The following is a 20,843-nucleotide window of genomic DNA, read 5'->3' on the forward strand; positions in this document are numbered from 1 at the left end:
AAAAGAGGGATAAACACCTGCATACCTTACAGGGCTGTTGGGAGAACTGTATAAGATGATATATGTGAAAAGGAAAACATGTAGCATGGTGCCTAGAACACAGGAGATACACAATAAAGACTTACACACTTCCTACCAGACAATTTTGCTATACAGTATTTTTGGGGTTTTTTTAGGTGGGGTGGGGGAGTTTTTTTTTTTTTTTTTTTTTTTTTAAGACAAAGTTTCGCTCTTGTTGCCCAGGCTGGAGTGCAACGGCACAATCTTGGCTCACTTCAACCTCTGCCTCCCAGGTTCAAGCAATTCTCCTGCCTCCGCCTCCCAAGTAGCTGGGATTACAGGCGCACACTACGGCACCCGGCTAATTTTGTATTTTTAGTAGACCCGGTTTTACCATGTTGGACAGGGTGGTCTCAAACTCCTGACCTCAGGTGATCCGCCTGCCTCGGCCTCCCAAAGTGCTGGGATTACAGGGGTGAGCCACCACGCCCAGCCAGCCATACAGTATTTAACCACATTCTTTTTTCTTTTATTGGTACATAATACTTTACATATTTATGGGGCACATGTTGAGTGTCACACGCATAGACTGTGGACTAATCAAGTCAGGGTATTTGCGGTATCCATCACCTTCAGTATTTATTATTTTTATGTGTTGGTATCAAGTCCTCTCTTCTACTTACTTTGAAATATACAAAACATTGTTGCTAAGTATAGTCACCCTATTCTGCTATCAAACATTAGAATTTATTTCCTCTAACTATAGATTTGTATCCATAACAAAACTCTCTTCATCCCCTCTGCCACCCACTTACCCCTCCCAGTCTCTCGTATCTATCATTCTATTCTCTATGTCCATGAGATTAACTTTTTAGCACCCACAATTAAATGAGAACATGCAGTATTTGTCTTTTTGTGCCTGGCTTATTTTGCTTAACATAATGTCTTCCAGTTCCATCCATGTTGCTGCAAATGACAGGATTTCATTCTTTATTATGGCCAAATACTATTCTATTATGTATATGTACCACATTTTATTTATCCATTAGTCCACTGATGGATACTTAGGTTGATTCCATATCTTTGCTATTGTGAATAGTGCTGTGATAAACACACGAATGCAGATCCCTTTGATATCTTGATTTCTTTTCCTTTAAATAGGTACCCAGTAGTGGGACTGCTGAATCATACGGTAGTGCTAGTTCCCTCCCTCCCTTCCTTCCTTCCTTTCCTTCCTTCTCCTTCCTTCTCCTTCCTTTCTTCCTTCCTTCCTTCCTTCGAGATGGAGCCTCATTCTTGTTGCACAGGCTGGAGTGCAGTGGCGCCATCTCGGCTCACTGCAACCTCTGCCTCCTGGGTTCAAGCGATTCTCCTGCCTCAGCCTCCCCAGTAGCTGGGATTACAGGCACCCGCCACCACGCCCAGCTAATTTTTGTATTTTTAGTAGAGACGGGGTTTCACCATGTTGGCCAGGCTGGTCTCGAACTCCTGACCTCAGGTGATTCACCTGTCTTGACCTTCCAAAGTGCTGGGATTACAGGTGTGAGCCACCACGCCTGGCTAGTTTTCATTTTTTAAGAAATTTCCATACTGTTTTCCATAGTGGTTATATTAATTTACATTCTCATCAACAATGTATGGTTCCCTTTTCTCTGCATCCTGGCCGGCATCTGTTATTTATGTCTTTTTTTTTTTTTTTTTTTGAGACAGAGTCTCACTCTGTCCCCCAGGATGGAGTGCAATGGCATGATCTCGGCTCACTGCAACCTCTACCTCCTGGGTTCAAGCAATCCTTCTGCCTCAGCTTCCCAAGTTGCTGGGATTACAGGTGCCCACCACCATGCCCAGCTAATTTTTGGATTTTTAGTAGAGACGGGATTTCATCATGTTCGCCAGGCTGGTCTCAAACTCCTGACCTCAAATGATCCGCCTGCGGAGGCCTCCCAAAGTCCTGGGATTACAGGCATGAGCCACTGTGCCTGGCCTTTTTAATAATAGCCATTTTAACTGGGGTGAGATGATATCTCATTGTGTGGTTTTGATTTGCATTTCCCTGATGATTAGTGATGTTGAGCATATTTTCACATATCTGTTGGCCATTTGTGTGTCCTCTTTTGAGAAATATCTGTTCATGTCCTTTGCCCAATATTTTGTTTTTGTTTTTTGTTTTTGTTTTGGAGACGGAGTCTCCTGACCTCGTAATCCGCCCACCTTGGCCTCCCAAAGTGCTGGGATTACAGGCGTGAGCCACTGCGCCCAGCCCCTTTGCCCAATATTTTAATGGAATTATTTGTTTTTCTACTGTTGAGTTGTTCGAGTTCCTTGTATATACTGGACATTATTAGTCCCCTGATGGATAAGTAGTTTGCAAATATTTTCTCCCATTCAAGAGGCTGTCTCTTCACTCAGTTGTTTGTTGTTGTTTTGCTGTGCAGGAGCTTTTTAGTTTAATATAGTCTTCCTGGTCTATTGTTGTTTTTGTTTCCTGGCTTTTGAGGTCTTAACCATAAAATTGTTGCCTAGACCAATATCCTGAGGAGTTTTCCCTATGTTTTCTTCTAGTAATTTTATACTTCTGGGTCTTACATTTAAGTTTTTACTCCACCTTGAGTAAATTTTTGGATATGAGAGATGGGTGTCCAATTTCATTATTCTGTATAAGGTTATCTAGTTTTCTCAGCACCATTTATTGAAGAGAGTGTCCTTTCCCCAGTGTATGTTCTTGATGGCCTTGTCAAAGATCAGTTGGCTATAAATATGTGAATTTATTTCTGGGTTTGCTATTCTGTTCCATTGATCTATATATCTATTTTTATACCAATACTGTGTTGTTTTGGTTACTATAGCCTTACAATATATTTTGAAGTCAGGTAATGTGATGCCTCTAGCTTTGTTCTTTTTGCTTGAGATTGCTTTGGCTATTCTGGCTCTTTTTTAGTTCCACATTAATTTTAGGATTGCTTTTTATATTTCTGTGAAAAATGATGTTGGTATTTTGATAGAAAGTGCATTGAATCTGTAGATTGCTTTGAGCAATATGGTCATTTTAACAATATTAATTCTTCTGATCCATGAACACGGGATATCTATTTTTGTGTCCTCTTTAATTTCTTTCATCGATGTTTTATAGTTTTCAGTGTAAAGGTTTTCACTTCTTTGGTTAAGTTTATTTCTAGATTTCTTTGTAGCTATTGTAAATGGAATTGCCTTCTTGATTTCTTTTAACCACATCCTCGTTTCAGTTTCCCATGGGCATTCTTTGGGTACAGTTGCTCAGCCACTTATGAATTTTTAACCATATTGTCACCTCTCCTGTATTACATCTCATCCACATCAATGACATGAAAAGCATTGTCACATGCCTCACTTACTTCCACATAGTGTATCCACCATTTCCCCTGCTCTACCAGTCTGGTGACCCTACCCAAACAGGAAATTAGGTCAGTCTGGAATTACTTGTTCCAGAGGGTTCCTGGAGATCACTATTTCTCTGGGTAACTGCCATACGCCTTATGTTTAAATATTCTAGAACACTATGCTATCAGTGCTGTCAGTGTCACTAGGCTATAGTTCCCAGAGACTTCTTCCTTATTTGAAAACAGATTGTGTTTGCTCTTCTCCAGCCTTTCAACGTTTTTGTCTTTATGCCAGGATTTTTTCTGGGTCGGAAAATTTGAACTTATTTACAATAGCTGGGGCCTCTCCTACTGTCTCAGCATTTAGACCGACCTTTATATTTCCCTTTACCATTCTTACTTATTCTACCGATTCCAATCTGATGTGTATTTTCCTTGACAGACTATGGGAGCGATATAGAATGGGAGTGATTGTTGAGGTCCCAGCCTGCCAAATAAGGTCTTTGTGATATGTGTTGTGGCCTTATAATCAACAGCTCTGCAACTGTAGTGCTTAAAAGACTTTCTGTAATTTGGAGATGGTGTCTCCAGATGGCAGCCATGTGTCACTGCCACAGGCTCAAAAGTAATGCTGGAAGCCCCAAGAGTAGTGTTTACTGAAGAAAAGATTTCTCACTGTCATCTGTCTTCATTCTCCAGTTGCACTCAGAAAGAGGCTCTAGCCTTTCTTTGTTCCTTTGGTGTCTCATCTACTTCTTTTTTTTTTTTTTCAAAGCTTTTTTTTTTTCCCCCTTAGGATGTGGGAACTGAGTCAACTCACATGGGGCTTTAGCCTTCCCAACCCTAGGCCAACAGACCCGTGCCATGCTGTGTGTGTGCATCCTTGGGCAGGCGGCCCTCTGCTTGTTTATATGTGCCCCTTTAAACTCTGAACCCACTAAAGAGTCATTTATTTTGTATAGCCTGTGAGGCATCTTTATGATGCCTTTATGATTTAACAGCCTTATAACCTTTTGTGCTCAGTACTGAACTGGGATTGGACTTTAATTCCTAAGAAGCCTTCTTCCTTCTTTGATGTCACATTCCCTTCCTCTCTCTAGTTTACATTTTTGTATTATCCTTTAAATTTTTATTTTAAACATACATACAGAAAAACTCACTCTTTTTGGTGTACAGTTCTGTGAGTTTTGACAACTGCATAGGGTCACATAACTCCCACCACAGTATGAGACAGTTCCATCACTTCAAAATCTTGCCCAGTGCTTCCCCTTTGATGTTATTCCCTACCTCTACCCCTAATCTCTGGCAAACACTGATCTGTACTCTGTCACTGTATTTTTGCCTATGTCCCTATATTTTTGTTATATAAATGGAACTCTACAGTATGTAGTTTTTCAAGTGTGGCTTCTTTCACGTCCCAAAATAAATTTGAGATTGATTGATGTTGTTGCATGTATCAGCACTTCATTCTTTTGTATGAATACACCACAGTTAGTTTAGCCATTCACCCATAGAAAGACATTTGAGGCTGGGCGCGGTGGCTCATGCCTGTGATCCCAGCACTTTAGGAGGCCAAGGCGAGCAGATTAAGAAGTCAAGAGATCGAGACCATTCTAGCCAACAAGGTGAAACCCCGTCTCTACTAAAAATACAAAAATTAAATACAAAAATTAGCTGGGCGTGGTGGCAGGCGCCTGTAGTCCCAGCTACTCGGGAGGCTGAGGCAGGAGAATCAAGCTTGAACCCAGGAGGTGGAGGTTGCCGTGAGCCGAGATTGCACCACTGCACTCCAGCCTGGTGACAGAGGGAGACTCCGTCTCAAAAAAAAAAAAAGAAAAGAGAAGAAAGAAAGACATTTGAGATTTGAGTTGTTTCCAGCTTTTGGCAATTATGAATAAAGCTACTTTTAACTCTCGTGTACAGGATTTTGTGTGGACACAGGTTTTTATTTCACTGGCATAAATACCTTTAAGTGGGATTGCAGAGTCGTATGGTAAGTGTACCTTTCTTTATAAGAAGGTAGGTGTTACCTTTATAAGAAATAGCCAAAATATTTTCCAAAGTGGCTGTATTTTTGCATTTCCACCAGCCATATATGAGAATTCCAGTTTCTCTCCATCTTCACAAACACTTGGTATTACCAGTTTTTTTTAAGGATACCCTCCCTGATGGATATATAAGTAGTATCTCATTATGATTTTAACTTGCATTTCCCAAATGATTAATGATGCTGAACATCTTTTCATGTGCTTATTTGCCATCGGTGTAGCCTATTCAGTGCCATGTGTGCTTATATCTTTTGTCCATGTTCTAACTGGATTGTTTGCTTTTTCAATGTTTTGAGAGTTCTTTCTATATTTTAAATACTAGTCCCTTTTATGGCTTTGTCTTTTCACAGAGCAATTTTTAATTTTGACAAGGTCCAATTTGTTAATTCATTAATTTATTTATTAAAATTTAATTCTTCTGGCCGGGCGCAGTGGCTCACGCCTGTAATCGCAGCACTTTGGAAGGCCGAGGCAGGAGGATCACAAGGTCAGGAGATCGAGACCATCCTGGCTAACACAGTGAAATCTCGTCTCTACTAAAATACAAAAACTTAGCCAGGCATGATGGCAGGCGCCTGTAGTCCCAGCTACTCAGGAGGCTGAGGCAGGAGAATGGCGTGAACGTGGGAGGCGGAGCTTGCAGTGAGCTGAGATTACGCCACTGCACTCCAGCCTGGGCGAGAGTGAGACTCCGTCTCAAAAAAACAAATTTTAATTTTTCTTTTATTAATTCTGCTGTTGGTGTCATACCTCAGACCACTTTGCTTAGCCCTAAATCCCAGTGACCTTCTCCTGTTTTTTCAAGTCCATGATCCCATTTGAGTTAATTTTTGTATAAGGTGTGAGACTTAGGTCGAGGTGGGGTTTTTTTTTTTTTTTTTTTTTTTTTTGCATATGGAAGTACAAGTGCTCCAGCACCGTTTGTTTGAAGGCTATCTTTCTTCCACTTAATTGTTTTTGCACTTTTGTCAAAAATCATTTCAACACACCTGTGTGGGTTTACTTCTGGGCTCTCTATTTTTTTCCATTGACCTATTTGTCTTTTCACCAACACCACACTGTCTTGATTACTATACTTCTAGCTTGCCTTTCTTCTATTGCTACAGTCCCCCGATGGTGTTATACATTAAATATCCAGGATGGAGAAGCCACATGCTACTCACCGAAGGGAGGAAATTATCACAGCAGCCTGGGCACGCGTTGTGAGCTCTCCTGTGACCGGGGCTTTCGATTGATTGGAAGGAGGTCGGTGCAATGCCTGCCAAGCCGTCGTTGGTCTGGAACTGCCTACTGCAGGCGTAAGTTGTGTGTGTGCATATGCTGATGTATGTATGCGAGAGAAGCCAGCCAGCCAGCTGCTGAGGGTATATGCCCGGAGGTGTTACTAATATGCCCTTCTCTCAAGTACAAATTGAGAATATTCCATAAGCCCCCCAGCAGGGCCTTTCCCCATTCTAACATTCGAGTTCCATTTCTCTGGGTTACTGCCCAGGCAATATGAGCATTTAACTAGCAACAAGCTCTTCTGTCTCGGGGAGCCCAGGAGTGCACAGCCAGAGCTAAGGCTTGGGCCTGAGGTCTGTTGTGGACCTAGATCTTCTTCTGGAGCTCCTAAGGATGTGTGGTCTTAGACTCTTTTCCACTTGTGGTCAACTGCTGTAATTCCTGGCCTGTAGCCTTAGAAGACCTTGGCAGTGGAGCTGTGAAACATGTGCTATTCTTAATTTTCTTCTGGAAGTCAGAAGAAAAATCCCTAAGTCTAGAATGTGAAAGTGCTGATATACACACATTCCAAATCACGTCCCCCTTCAGCTTCCAAATCTCTACCTCTTACTCAAGTTCCATAGCCTTTTAGCAGCTGAACTTTTCCTGTCCATATGTCCATGGCAGAACACCACTTGTAGGACACCCATGTATGCGCAGCCCTGTATTGGTCACTTCCTGTGTTACTCAATTCTTCAAGTACTCCCAGGCTGCTTATAGATGAATGGGATAGAAACACAAATGTGTGCACATCAGTGTGGTGTAACTGGATGCAGAAGTGCTGAGCATTCATATAGAAATGGGGCTGGTCAGAGAAGACGCTGTAGACGAGAAAAGAAGCTTGATAGCCAGAAAGCAGGCAGTCACCACACCCCTCTCGGTGACTGGAATTAAATTGTTTCAGGACTTAGACCCCAACATTTTCAACAGGAATTTGAATCGGTCTGACACAATTGAAAAATATAGGTCTGTAAAGTACAAGTGAACACAAAACCAATTAAAATAATGGTGACATACATATTTCCAGGTGCCTACAATGAGTCAATTACTACATTTGAGCACTGAATCTAGCTTTGACTTTCCTCATAAGAGACAAAAGGGCAAATGCTTTGGATCTATCATTTTTCCTGTCATATGATACTAAGCAAACACATTCATCTGAAGAGACAAATCTTTTGCCCTGATTTCAAAAAGGTCATTTTTGCATAGGTCTTTACAAAGGGACACTGGAAAACAGAAAATGCAATAATCTTTAAGTCTGGTTTGCCAAGCAACAAAATGAACATAGCTTATACAGATCTTTATTCAAAGCTCCAACAATTGAACTTAGGCAGGACTAGAAGTTAGACAACCTAAAGGAATATATGGCCTCCTTCTCTCAAGTATCAGGTATCTCCAACAATACTTTGGCAAGCATAGGCTCACAATTAATCCATGGTGACAGGCTCCACCTCTGCCACACGTGGTGTCCAAGGCACATGGATTCCTCTTTTACCAAATACCACACCTGGCCCTCCAGGCACTGGTCTGACTTGTATTCTTGCCCAGACAGAGAGTCAGCCCAAGTTGGCATGTAAGTGAGCCTCAGCTGAGCAGTACCTATGGGAGCCCCAAAATTATATTGAGTATGCCTGGAGGAGAAAAGAAGCTTTGAACGTGCTCAAGGGCATCTAGCATTTGAGGAATAAGAGACAAAAATTAACAGTTGCTAAGGCCCTAAATGAGCCCAGAGGATATATGCATTGTCTTTTTTAATTTATACAACAATCCTATGAGGTATCCACATTTCACTGAAGAAAACACTGAGACTCAAAGAGATGAGGCAACTTCTTAAAGTTACAGAGCTAGTAAGAGGTAGAACTGGGATGCAAAGTCAGGTCTGATTTTTTTTTTTTTTTTACTCTTGATAAGTTGTTTTCCTTCCCCCTCTAAAATAGATTCTATTTGTTTAGAGAAGTTTTAAGTTCACAGCAAAATTGAATGAAAGATACAGATATTTCCCATTTATCCCCAGCACCCACACATGTACAGCCTCCCCTGTTGTCAACATCCCCCACCAGAGTGGTACATTTTTTACAGTTGACGAACATAAATTAATACATCATTGTCACCTGAATTCCATAGATTATATTAAGGCCCACTCTTGTTGTATATTCTATGGATTTTGACAATGTACAGTGTTAGGTCTGATTTTGAAGTCTATATGCTTGGACAAGTAATTTACTTTTTTGACACCCCCCTGCCCAAGGGTGCTGCTATACTTTATGAAAATACAAAGACAATTAGGGAAAAAGGCAGTTAGGCACAAAAATGTAAGGGCAGTTCAGGTAGGGTTTCTGTATTTTCTGCTCTTTCTGATGTTTCTCCCTGTGCTAGATGCCCAGGCATCACCTCCAGATAGTCGCACAAGCCACTGAGCTTGCCACTTGGTTTTCTCTTAGAGATGAGATGCCACGCACTACCATTCATCACTAGTGGCACTTACACCTGCACAAATGGAGTGCTTCTTGACTCTCGCTGTGACTACAGCTGTTCCAGTGGCTACCACCTGGAAGGTGATCGCAGCCGAATCTGCATGGAAGATGGGAGATGGAGTGGAGGCGAGCCTGTATGTGTAGGTAAATGCTGGTTGCTCCCAGTTGTCCTGGTGCAAAGAGCCACCCCAGCATTATATCGACAAAAGATGTGGAATTCTCACCACAGAAGGCATTCCTCTTAGCTATGAGGGTGGCACCCTGGGTATTTGCTAAACAAAATGATCTTCTCCCCTGAAGTTGCGCTTCCTTCCCCAGTTTCCTTGAGCACCTTGAACTTTTTATCTACCCAGTGGTGTGTGGCATTGCTTCAGTGGATTCCCTCCAGGGAAAGCAAGGGGCCCACGAGTCAGCACTTGATTTTTCATCTTGGCAGACATAGATCCCCCCAAGATCCGCTGTCCCCACTCACGTGAGAAGATGGCAGAGCCAGAGAAATTGACTGCTCGAGTATACTGGGACCCACCGTTGGTGAAAGATTCTGCTGATGGTACCATCACCAGGTGAGCCTGAATAATGGATGCCCCTTATGCCTTCCCTCGGCTTCTCTCAGTCATTCAGGCTGGTCACATTGAAACTGCACAGGCTAAGGTGACAGTGGGGATGTGCCTCAGACTTCAATTCTAAGGGTCTCTTTCCTCAGTGTTTATTTCACCCTGTCCCATGCAGGGTGACACTTCGGGGCCCTGAGCCTGGCTCTCACTTTCCCGAAGGAGAGCATGTGATTCGTTACACTGCCTATGACCGAGCCTACAACCGGGCCAGCTGCAAGTTCATTGTGAAAGTACAAGGTCAGAAAGAATTATTTAGTTTCCATATTGTTCATTAATCCTGCTCTACCCTGACCCACCCCATGTCTCTCCTCTCTATGCCTGGAAGAGACACACCTCATTTATACTGGGAGAGGAGAAAAACAAGTTCACCAAACAGGCTTATTTAGGAAGCCAGCGTTACATGTGCATACATATGTTTCTGAAACCTTGACTCTCCAACAAGACTCTCATCAACAAGACTCTCATTATCCTAAATCCAGATAAAATCCACAAGGATATTCTTTATCCATTTCTTTTCTTAGACTTCAAAATGATCACATGTAATCAGCCATCATTCTGTCGTTCACCTCTGATAAAACTGGTGGTGTTGGCTGCCTGATTCTTCCTCTTTGCTTTGTGTTGTATTGTTTTGTTTTGCTTTTCTCATTATAAAAATAATTCATGCTTATTGTTGAACATTTGATAAATAAAGAAATATATAAAGGGGGAAAATCTATTACCCCATCATCCAGAGGCAACTGCTATTAACTTTTTGGTATTTTCCTTCCAGTCTTTTTTCTATACATACTTTAAAAAATATATAGTTGAGATTGTACTGTACATCCATAAATCATCCTTTTCACTTTTCATTAACAAAGTAATTTTCCCATGTTATTTAAAAATTCTTCAGAAATATTTTTAATGACAGCATAATATTCTACTCTAAAAATATATCGTAATTTGCTTAACCCTTCTCCCACCAATGAACATTTAAGATTCCTCCAACTTATTTCTGTTATTAAGAGGAATTCTGCAAGGTAGTCATCTTTACACAGCATGTCCATAAAGTCTGGAAACAGATGGTAATATTTTCTTTTAAAGATTGTCAGTCTTTTGATAACAACATGTATATTCACCTGTGTTTCCAGACTTTACAAACCTTTGTCTGCATTTCAGATTTAATTCCTTAAGAAAGGAAAATTCCAGCTCTATCCCCAGCCAGTGGAAATACAGAAAAGCCATTTTTCTGATCATCCTAAGTCTTCTGATCTAGAAAGCCCAGCATGGGCACCCTCTTAGCCTTTCCTTCTTATAAGAAACACCATAACTTCTAACTTGAGCTCCTCCCTGACAGTGAGACGCTGCCCAACTCTGAAACCTCCGCAGCACGGCTACCTCACCTGCACCTCAGCGGGGGACAACTATGGTGCCACCTGTGAATACCACTGTGATGGCGGTTATGATCGCCAGGGGACACCCTCCCGGGTCTGTCAGTCCAGCCGCCAGTGGTCAGGTTCACCACCAATCTGTGCTCGTGAGTGAAACCGGGGAATGGGGCAAGTGGATGTGGTGATCAGGGGAACTTTGGAGGATCTTCCTCATGGACAGGGGTCCAATAACAATGTATATGATGTGGGAAAGGGGGGTTCTGGGATGTGTCTAATTTAAAGGCCAACATTCCCCCGTAGACTACTCCTACCCCAAGAAGAAGGGTTTAAAATCTCTAAGTGTTCTTTTAGGATTTCCCCCAAGGGATGGGAGAAACAGCCAGAGAGAGGTAACCTGAAAGACTGGAACACCTCAAGATGTTAGGTTACCTAAGCTGGGATGGAGGAGAAAGCCGTACTCTGACTGGTCACCTGCTTCTGCCCTAGCTATGAAGATTAACGTCAACGTCAACTCAGCTGCTGGTCTCTTGGATCAATTCTATGAGAAACAGCGACTCCTCATCATCTCAGCTCCTGATCCTTCCAACCGATATTATAAAATGCAGATCTCTATGCTACAGGTAAGGCCCACTCCCCTAAAGAGGGCTTAGCTCCTGTAAATTATCCCTTACCTTTTCCAAATCAGAGTTGTTCTCTGCAGCACAAACCTTACCTACTTCCTGAAACTTTTTGTGGATAGCATTTGATCAGTTTTACCATAGACATATTTAGCACATTTAAAAAACTGTTTTTACTGAAAAGGCAATAAAGTCACTGGAGTGGTGGCTGTGACTTGCAGGGAGCTGGGTGAAAGATGGGAAGGGAGTGTGGCAAAGCACTCTGAAGAGACTTGCAAGACAGCTATGATCAAATGTAAATGTTGGGAATTAAGTACATTTATGTTTTCAAGGAATAACAGCGCTAACAAACACTTATGCAGTAAGTGCTATGTAGCTATCCAGTACTGATCTATGGGTTTTACACATATTCATCCAATTCTCACAACAACCCTTTGGAGGTGGATACTATCGTTATCCCCATTGAATAGGTGAGGAAACTGATGCATAGAGATTAAGTCACTTGCCCAAGGTCACTAGCTAGTAAGTGGTGGAGCTGGGATTGAACACAGGGAGTCTGGCTGCAGAATCTGTCCTCTTAGCCACTACCAGTAGCAAAAAAGAAGGAAAAGCGTTATGATATCTCAAAGTAAAATGAGAGAGTTGCATGGCAGTTTTTAACATAAGAGATACCTAGCCAAAGCCACTGGTAGGGAGAGGTCGATAGGACAGAATAAATATGATTATGGGGACTTATAAAAGAACAGGCTAGGTTACTGAAGATAATTCAGGATGTGCTGACAAGACTAAGAGAAGCAGCTCTGGGGAGCTACAAGGGGCTGGATACCCACGTGGGAGAAAAAGCTACTTAGGAGGCTTCTAAAGATTGAATCTTAGAAGTTGCCTAGTGAATATTCAGAGGCCCAGGATGGAAGCAGTTTTACAAAAAAAAAAAAAAAGAAAAAAAAAAAAAAAAGGACCCTGGAGGGTCTAGACCAAAAAGAGGGCCTTATTCATCTAGAGATCCAAAAAGACTGACAAAGGCAACAGTTCCTTTGGAAGCAAGGGAGTAAGAACAAGAAAAGGAACCTGTCAGCAAGCATAGTGACTCTGAGGGTAAGGACTAGAGGGGAAGCCCAAAGATGAAACAGAGGTGGGGTGCCGGGGAGTATTCAAGGCCTCTTTAAACCTCACCCTGGTAAATGGCTAGCAGGTGATCCTGCAAGACAAGGCAGGACAGAGATCTGGGGTAGGACTGCAAGCTGCACTGCCCAGTGCAAGGAAGGTAACAAGGGGTAATGAAAAGAGCACTGGGCACAATTTTGGAGAAATCCTGGAGACCGAGCGAAGGCCCTGGCCAGGTAGCCTATTGGTAAAGAGCACACGCTTGGGCAGGGGGCATCAGTCCTCAGTTTGAATCTTGGCTCAGCATGTTATTGTCACCACCTGGCTTGTGAGGGGTGTTGTGAAGATTAGATTATGTCTACAAAGCATTAGGTTTGTGTATTCAATAAACAACAGCCATTATCATATCACATTGGCTATCCATCAAGAACTTATGTAATTTAAAACCTATGCAAAGCTAAATGATTATGTTCCTGCAATTTACTCATTGCATTTCTCTTCTCTACCCCACTTTGTGTAACTGGTTTCAGTAGAATGAAGGAAACACTGTTGGGGCAAGTACTTCAGGAATGACAGAGGGAACAGGTTGTTGTAGACCCCACAGTGTGATTGCGTGATCATTGGGGGAGAAGGAGCTCCTTTCCCACACTGCTTCATATGGTCCCAGGAGGAATCAGCCAAGTAGCCTTAGGTTTGAACGCACAGCTCTGTTGCATAAAATGTTCTGTCTCCCTCCCAGCAATCCACCTGTGGACTGGATTTGCGGCATGTGACCATCATTGAACTGGTGGGACAGCCACCTCAGGAGGTGGGGCGCATCCGGGAGCAACAGCTGTCAGCCAACATCATCGAGGAGCTCAGGTCCAGGCTGGGAGGCTGCCAAACTTGGGGGGAGGGGGGGCTGGGGCGGGGGGAGAAACCCTAGGCAGGACACTGGCAAAAGCGGACTATGGGGAAACCATCAGACACTACTCTCTTGCGGCACTTCTTGCGTTTGAACTCTTATGGATGCATTAGGTAAGACCAGAGAGTAGTTTCTTTACTTTGGTAGAACATCAGAATCAAATGAGGGCTTAAAATACAGATGACCAGGCCCCATCCTAAACCACCTTAGGAATGTGCTTTTACAAAGGCACCTGAGGGGACTCTGAAGCACAGCCAGGGCTGAGACAGTAAACCCAAACTTGACTCAGATAAGCCCCTGCTCTTGTTTTCTGGCCTCATCTCTTTGCCTTCAGTCTCCAAAGGAGCAAAAGCCATCTTTTTTTTTTTTTTTTTTTTGAGACACAGTTTTGCTCTTGTCGCCCAGGCTGGAGTGCAATGGCACGATTTCAGCTCACTGAAACCTCCACCTCCCAGATTCAAGTGATTCTCCTGCCTCAGCCTCCCGAGTAGCTGGGATTACAGGTGTGCACCACCACACCCAGCTAATTTTTGTATTTTTAGTAGAGACAGGTTTCGCCATATTGGCCAGGCTGGTCTCAAACTCCTGACCTCAGGTGATCTGCCCACCTCCGCCTCCCAACCTGCTGGGATTACAGGCATGAGCCACCATGCCTGGCCGCAAAAGGCATCTTTAAGCACTGAAATCTGAGTAAGATCTATCAAATCCTGGGGAAGAGAACATTAGAGGTGACAGGTGATGGAAGAAGTGGGTCTTTCTCATTATCTATCCAGTATCACCCTTCTAATGCCTTCACATATATTCAGGGCCAATAAAGCCATCACTGCTCTGTTTTAGAGCAGTGCCTCTAAATGATAGAGAAACTATACCTGCCTCTAGGGCACAGTCTCAGTGGGGACAGAAAGATTCAGTCCTAGTTAGAGAAGAGACTAGAAAACCCTCAGAGGGAGACTGCAGACTTGCAGCTACAGATGGAAGAGTTAACCAGAAGGTATTTATCAACCTAAGGGCTGCCATGTATGATGTGCATACACAGCACAGTCTCTGCAGCGGGTGGCCCCTGGAGTCACCCTGTGCAGCCTGCACAGCAATATGTGATAGCCCTGCTTAAAGGGGCCTACAATGAAAGCACCGCCTGTTAATAACAAAGTTGTTGCAGCTGAGGTGAGGAAGGGACAGCTTAGCAGAACTAGATGCATAGAGGCAGCAAGAGTAGAATCTGAACACAGAAAAACAAAGCGACTTGAGACAGGAAGTAGAGGGAATGGGGACCAGGGATGAGGTGGGGAAGGAATTAGTCCATGAGTGGAGCTGCAAAAAGTCAGAGGGTAGTAGAGCCTGTGGGGATGGGTGCCCAGACAAGGTCTCATACCTCCCTGGGCTGTTCTCTCTAGGCAATTTCAGCGCCTCACTCGCTCCTACTTCAACATGGTGTTGATTGACAAGCAGGGTATTGACCGAGACCGCTACATGGAACCTGTCACCCCCGAGGAAATCTTCACATTCATTGATGACTACCTACTGAGCAATCAGGAGTTGACCCAGCGTCGGGAGCAAAGGGACATATGCGAGTGAACTTGAGCCAGGGCATGGTTAAAGTCAAGGGAAAAGCTCCTCTAGTTAGCTGAAACTGGGACCTAATAAAAGGAGGAAATGTTTTCCCACAGTTCTAGGGACAGGACTCTGAGGTGGGTGAGTTTGACAAATCCTGCGGTGTTTCCAGGCATCCTTTTAGGACTGTGTAATAGTTTCCCTAGAAGCTAGGTAGGGACTGAGGACAGGCCTTGGGCAGTGGGTTGGGGGTAGAAGTTCTTCCTTTCCTAACCCGGGCCCCTGCCCAGCTCTCCAAAGTCTTTCAGAAAAGTAAATCCTAAATTCAGTGATGAACTGGCTGTTTTAACTGGTTCCTCTACCCTGAGGTGACAGCAGAGGGCAGCACGAGCACAACAGAAACCAGCTTACACTTTAAGCAAGTGTAGCTGGATTTTCCTTACAGGATGAGGGGTGGGTAGCAGGGTACAAAACATCCTTTTTTTTTTTTTTTTGAGACGGAGTCTTGCCTTGCGCCCAGGCTGGAGTGCAGTGGCGCGATCTTGGCTCACCGCAAGCTCCGTCTCCTGGGTTCATGCCATTCTCCTGCCTCAGCCTCCCGAGAAGCTGGGACTACAGGCGCCCACCACCACACCCGGCTAACGTTTTGTATTTTTAGTAGAGACGGGTTTTGACCATGTTAGCCAGGATGGTCTCTATCTCCTGACCTCGCGATCCACCCGCCTCGGCCTCCCAAAGTGCTGGGATTACAGGCGTGAGCCACCACGCCCAGCCCAAAACATTCTTGAACTTGTTTGTCATTTCCCCTTCTAGGGCACTGGGCAGCAAATGTTATCTGAACCATTGCTTCACTGTTAGAAAAACCCTGCAGTGGGAGAGAGCTTGGTAAGATGTATCCAATCAGAGCAGAATGTTCTCTGGGGCCCTCCAGCTGGCTCACGGGCAAGAACCCCTTCTTCCTGAGGCCTCCCGTTTCTGTAGCAGAAGGCAAACGATTCTCTCCCTTCCTCAGAGGAGTCCCCAGCTTGTTACTTAGGAAACTTCAAAACCACCACTGCAGGTCGTAGGGAAAGAAAAGAAAAACAGACTCAGCCTCATGTATTAACTTCTTCAGATACTTGTCCCCTTTTGAGAGATGAGCACAGAGCAGGTGGGAGCTATAGCAGCACAAAATCAAGCCTTACCAGGCCTAAAATTCGAGGTGGAGCCACACACAGATCCCTGCTCTGACTGCAGTCCCTCTCAATGGTGTGCCAGTGTCTGAAAGACAAGTGTTCTCTCCCTTGCTGCTGAGAGCCTTCTTTCATACAGTCATGGAACCCAGAGTCATAGCTAAGACTCAGCAGCCTCTCTCCTTCAGCTTTACTCAGGGGGTCATCAGTGGATGACTTGAGGGGAGAAGGAAGCAGGCTGGGTGGGGAGGCAGAGCTCATAATGCTCAAGCACTATGTGCCAGGTGCTGTTCTAAACACTCTACTGATTGACTCCGAAGCCTTCACAAGAACCCTATGAGGTAGGTACTGTTATTAACCCCATTTTACAGATGAGGAAATTGAAGCTGAGTGAGATTAGGTAATTTGCCTAAGATCAGACAGCTAGTAAGTGGCAGAGTCAGGATTTCAACACCAGCAGCCTGGCTCTAGAGGCAATGTTCTTCTTAGACATTATGCCATCCTGACGCTACTTCTTTTCCTACTTTCCATTTAAAGACAACTGAAAGCTGTAAGCAAGGAGAAACTTTCCATGTTCTATAATCCTACCCAGACACAAGGCTCAGAGTGGGCTCAGGAGGAAAGAGGGAAATGGAAATGAAAGGGTCTCAACCTGAGAAAATTCAGTCTTGAAAGCGGAGTGATGGGACATAAATCATGAGCCCAGAACAAATTGGGGGAGCAGTGAGTCAGAGAGAATCTCCTTCCACTGGGATTTTAGTGGAAATCTCATTTTTAAAATGCAATATAAAAAATTAGGGAGTTGCTGGGTAGAATGGAACATGGAGGAAATGTTCAAAGTTGGAGCAAAAAGGTCCCTTCTCCCTCTTCCCTCCAGGGAAATATGGGAACTGTGAGAGGCAGCAGGCAAGTTATGGGCAGAGGCAGATACAATGAGTTCATGTGGGAAATTTCTGGTCAGACTAGCTCTGTGGTTCCAAAGGCAAAGACTGCACCTTGGGCGAGATGAATGCCCTTCGTTGTCTTTATCACTAACACTTCAAATGGGGCAAGCCAGGACATACTAGCAGGTCAAAGGCCCAAACAGCGGAGGCCTACTACCTCCTGAACAGAGCTCCACCTGGACCTGACTCAAGGAACATTTATATGCAACTGAGGAGCTTTTGTTTCATTTCATTTTGAATAGTCAAGTCAGTCTTGCTTTCTTTAGGTAAAGTTTTACAGTAACCTCCTTTGTAGTCCTTTGAAGATGAGGATTTGAGAAATCCCAACTCCTAAAGTAGGGGAGAGACAGCAGCAGAATATGACCCACAGCCAGACCCAAAGGGGCTAGCCCGACCCCTGTATATATTGTACCTCTCTCTCTGCCCACCTCTCCCCCACTTCTCCCCACTGCCCCATTCTCTCTTATCCTGCCTATTCCTCTCCCCTATTTCTCTGTCTCTCTCTCTCTCACATACACACACACTCACTCACAAGCAGTACAGTCACTAAGTTGGCTAGGTAATATCCAAAGCATTCTGATTGTCCTACTTTTTGTAAATTGAACTTATTTAAGATATTTTAGAAGAGATGAGTCACGTCTTCCTTTGACCCTTCACCCATAACACACATACCATTCTCACAGGAGGCCACATGGTGCAGTAGAGTCAGACTTTGATTCAAAGCCCAACTCTGTCACGTGACAGTAGGCTTGAGTTTCCTCATCTGTAAAAAGGGAAGATTTCCTACTTCATAAAGTGGTTGGAGAAATTAAAGAAATAGTATATGAAGCCTTGCACATAAAAAGCATTTGATATATATTAATGCCCTTTTGCACAAGAGGTCAAGAATTGCTTGGGTTCTACCTAGAAATCAAGAGCCTTATTTCTGAGCTGGGTTACTTGGCACCTGTGTTATTTCTCTCTCAAAACTACATAATGGTAGGAGGAGTAAAAGAAAAAGTCCCCGCCTCCCAGAGAAATTGAAGGATCCAGAAAGAAGTGCTTATAGCAGGGAATGTCTCCCCTCACCTCCTGTATGAACATCTCTCTCCTTCCTCCAGTATAGGAGGGTCTGCAAAGCTAAAGGAAGAGTTCCTTTGTTACAAGATAGAAAAGTGGTGCCACTTTAAAGATGATTTCTCAGTGTTCTCCTTAGATACCAAATACAAAGGACGAGGGATCAAGCTCAGCGAAAGTATCAGGCATTTAAGGTATCAGGCAGCAATGCGGGGAAAGGTGAATTTTCTTCAATCAGCATAGGATGGTTAGGGAAGAGCATTTATCACTTTGGTTCTTATCCTTCAAGCCAGGGGAAAAGCAACAGTGAGGACATCAGAGACAAAAGCATTTATAGAACTAACAAACACAAACGTTTGACAAGTGAGAAAGCTTTATTAAAGCACACATACATGTCAGGGGGGTGGGAAACAAAAGAGCAAGTTACAGCCCGGGATCCCAAGTTATGCCTTCCATTACAATTGCAATCCACACCAAATCAATCTTTGAAAACATTCCTCCATTCGGTTCATACATACAGTAGAAACCACTGTGGCTGCCCTTAATCCAGTGTGCTTATAGGAAATCAGTTAGCAGCTGACTCTGTTGAAAGGGATTTCCTCTCTGCTATACACTCCTTCCACACACAACTTTGGGTAGAAACGCTTATGAGAATAGAAAGGTCAGTTTGATCAATGAGTACCAGAAGATGAAACTTAGCTCACTAGACCCTTCTTTGAAAAGCCTCAACACACTACACCCATGTAATATGTAGGTCAAATTTAGGAAACAATAGCAAAAACAGGAACTGAAAGCTCATCAAGCAGGAAGTCAGAATAACAGGGAGACTCTGTCTACATTCCCTTAGAGCCCTTAACAGTCCCCAGCCTGGAGAAACACTGGGCCAATTGAGATAACACTTGGCTCTTCTGGTTGACACAGTGGGATGTAGACCATGCTCTGTTTGATAACACACCCCAGACGCAAACACTAAGACAGATGTGGTACATGAGGATGAATATATCTCATCTTTCATTCGAGAAATGAGGAGCTCTCTCTCCAATGACTGCAGTATCAGTTTAAAATGCAGAAAATTCAGCATGGGCTGTGAGACACTTTACCCTCAGTCACTCTGGTCCTCTGAGATCAGCTAGAAGCTCTCACTGGGCATCCTCGTGATTTAGTCAAAATACATTATCTAATTAAAGTGCTTTTCAAAAGCAGCTCCATTATAAGAGTCCCCCAAAGGTCTAGTAAAGATATCTAGAACTGGAAAAAGCTTGGGAATTCTGTTAGCATTTCAAAGAAAAGCATTAGACCAAAGCAAGGTGGAAACTGCTTAAAAACTAGAAAAGTTAAATTTAAAAGCCAAGTTCCAGAAGTTTATCCAGGTAGAAAATAAGTTAAAAGCATAAATTGGAGAGGAGAAAGAGGAAGGAACTACTCACCTCTCCCCAACATTCCTGTCTTTACTAACCAACCCTGCTTCCCAGAGCCTTAAAACCCAGACTGGTCCTAATGCGAAAGGTAGCCAGGGCTTCCTAGGGAAGTAGGAACAATGATAGCAAGACAGAAGATAAAAAGTTGTTTTAAAAGCTGTTTTTAAGTTAAGTGAACCTTATAAAGACATAAGAAAAAATGGACTCTGAAAATAAACTAGATTATACACAGAAACATTTTAAAGAAATGCTTATTCTTGAGACTGCTTTAAAAAGAAGAACAAGTCTGCATCACTCTAGCCAGCATAATGAGATTTGCAGAAAATACATGTTTGTACACATACACACACACACACACACACACACATACACACATACACACATACACATTAAATTATAAATCTTTGCTCTTGATTTCTTCACTTCCTCTGACCTGCCCTCGCCAGGGCTGGACCTGCAGAAGAGGACAGGGACTCATAAACCCAGCTTCTGCTTGGCCATTGAGGAACGGAGCTGCAGAGTCCCTTCTGCCCAAGACCCTGGGTACTGTCGCATCTTCTGCCACAGGCTCACTTCTTCCCCAGTCGAGTCCATCCAGTCCACCACTTCCCCATTACTGATCCCTGAGGAGAAACACCAGAAGAGGCTAAAGAGGGGCCCCACTCTCAGCCCACCAGGGAAGATGGGTTGTACAGCAAGATTAGCCACCCCATAACAGTTTCCTACGAAGATGGGCTAATGGCCACAGCAGTCTGGGAAGTGCTCCCTCACCTGTATTCCTGAGACTCTGTCAAGAGACTCTGGGTTGATGAAATCAGACTCCAAATGGCACACAGTCACTAGAGACTTCTTATTCTGAGGCTGTTACAGAGTTCTAGTGCCTGACAACTCATGCCAGAGCTATTGCCAACTGTACTTAAACATTTTTCTTTTATTATTATTATTAATTTGAGAC

The 20,843-nt window shown here is 43.6% G+C and overlaps 2 protein-coding genes across 20 annotated transcripts in view; one reads left to right on the forward strand and one right to left on the reverse strand.

Annotated features, from left to right (window-relative positions):
• Positions 1-20,123, forward strand: part of SRPX2 (sushi repeat containing protein X-linked 2) — a 31,590-nt gene extending 11,467 nt beyond the window's left edge. Inside the window, exons 4-11 of the mRNA NM_014467.3 lie at positions 6,511-6,702; positions 9,109-9,285; positions 9,578-9,704; positions 9,871-9,992; positions 11,089-11,268; positions 11,609-11,742; positions 13,583-13,704; positions 15,142-20,123. Coding sequence (NP_055282.1) covers positions 6,511-6,702; positions 9,109-9,285; positions 9,578-9,704; positions 9,871-9,992; positions 11,089-11,268; positions 11,609-11,742; positions 13,583-13,704; positions 15,142-15,322 — 1,235 coding nt within the window. The 3' untranslated portion in view covers positions 15,323-20,123. The remainder of the gene's footprint in view (positions 1-6,510; positions 6,703-9,108; positions 9,286-9,577; positions 9,705-9,870; positions 9,993-11,088; positions 11,269-11,608; positions 11,743-13,582; positions 13,705-15,141) is intronic.
• Positions 18,826-20,843, reverse strand: part of SYTL4 (synaptotagmin like 4) — a 57,631-nt gene continuing 55,613 nt past the window's right edge. For all 19 annotated transcript variants that reach the window (NM_001370161.1, XM_017029968.2, NM_001129896.3 and 16 more), the window contains one exon: positions 18,826-20,511. In NM_001370161.1, coding sequence (NP_001357090.1) covers positions 20,363-20,511 — 149 coding nt within the window. In that variant the 3' untranslated portion in view covers positions 18,826-20,362. The remainder of the gene's footprint in view (positions 20,512-20,843) is intronic.

Source organism: Homo sapiens, chromosome X, assembly GCF_000001405.40.
Source record: "Homo sapiens chromosome X, GRCh38.p14 Primary Assembly".
Lineage (NCBI taxonomy): Eukaryota > Metazoa > Chordata > Mammalia > Primates > Hominidae > Homo > Homo sapiens.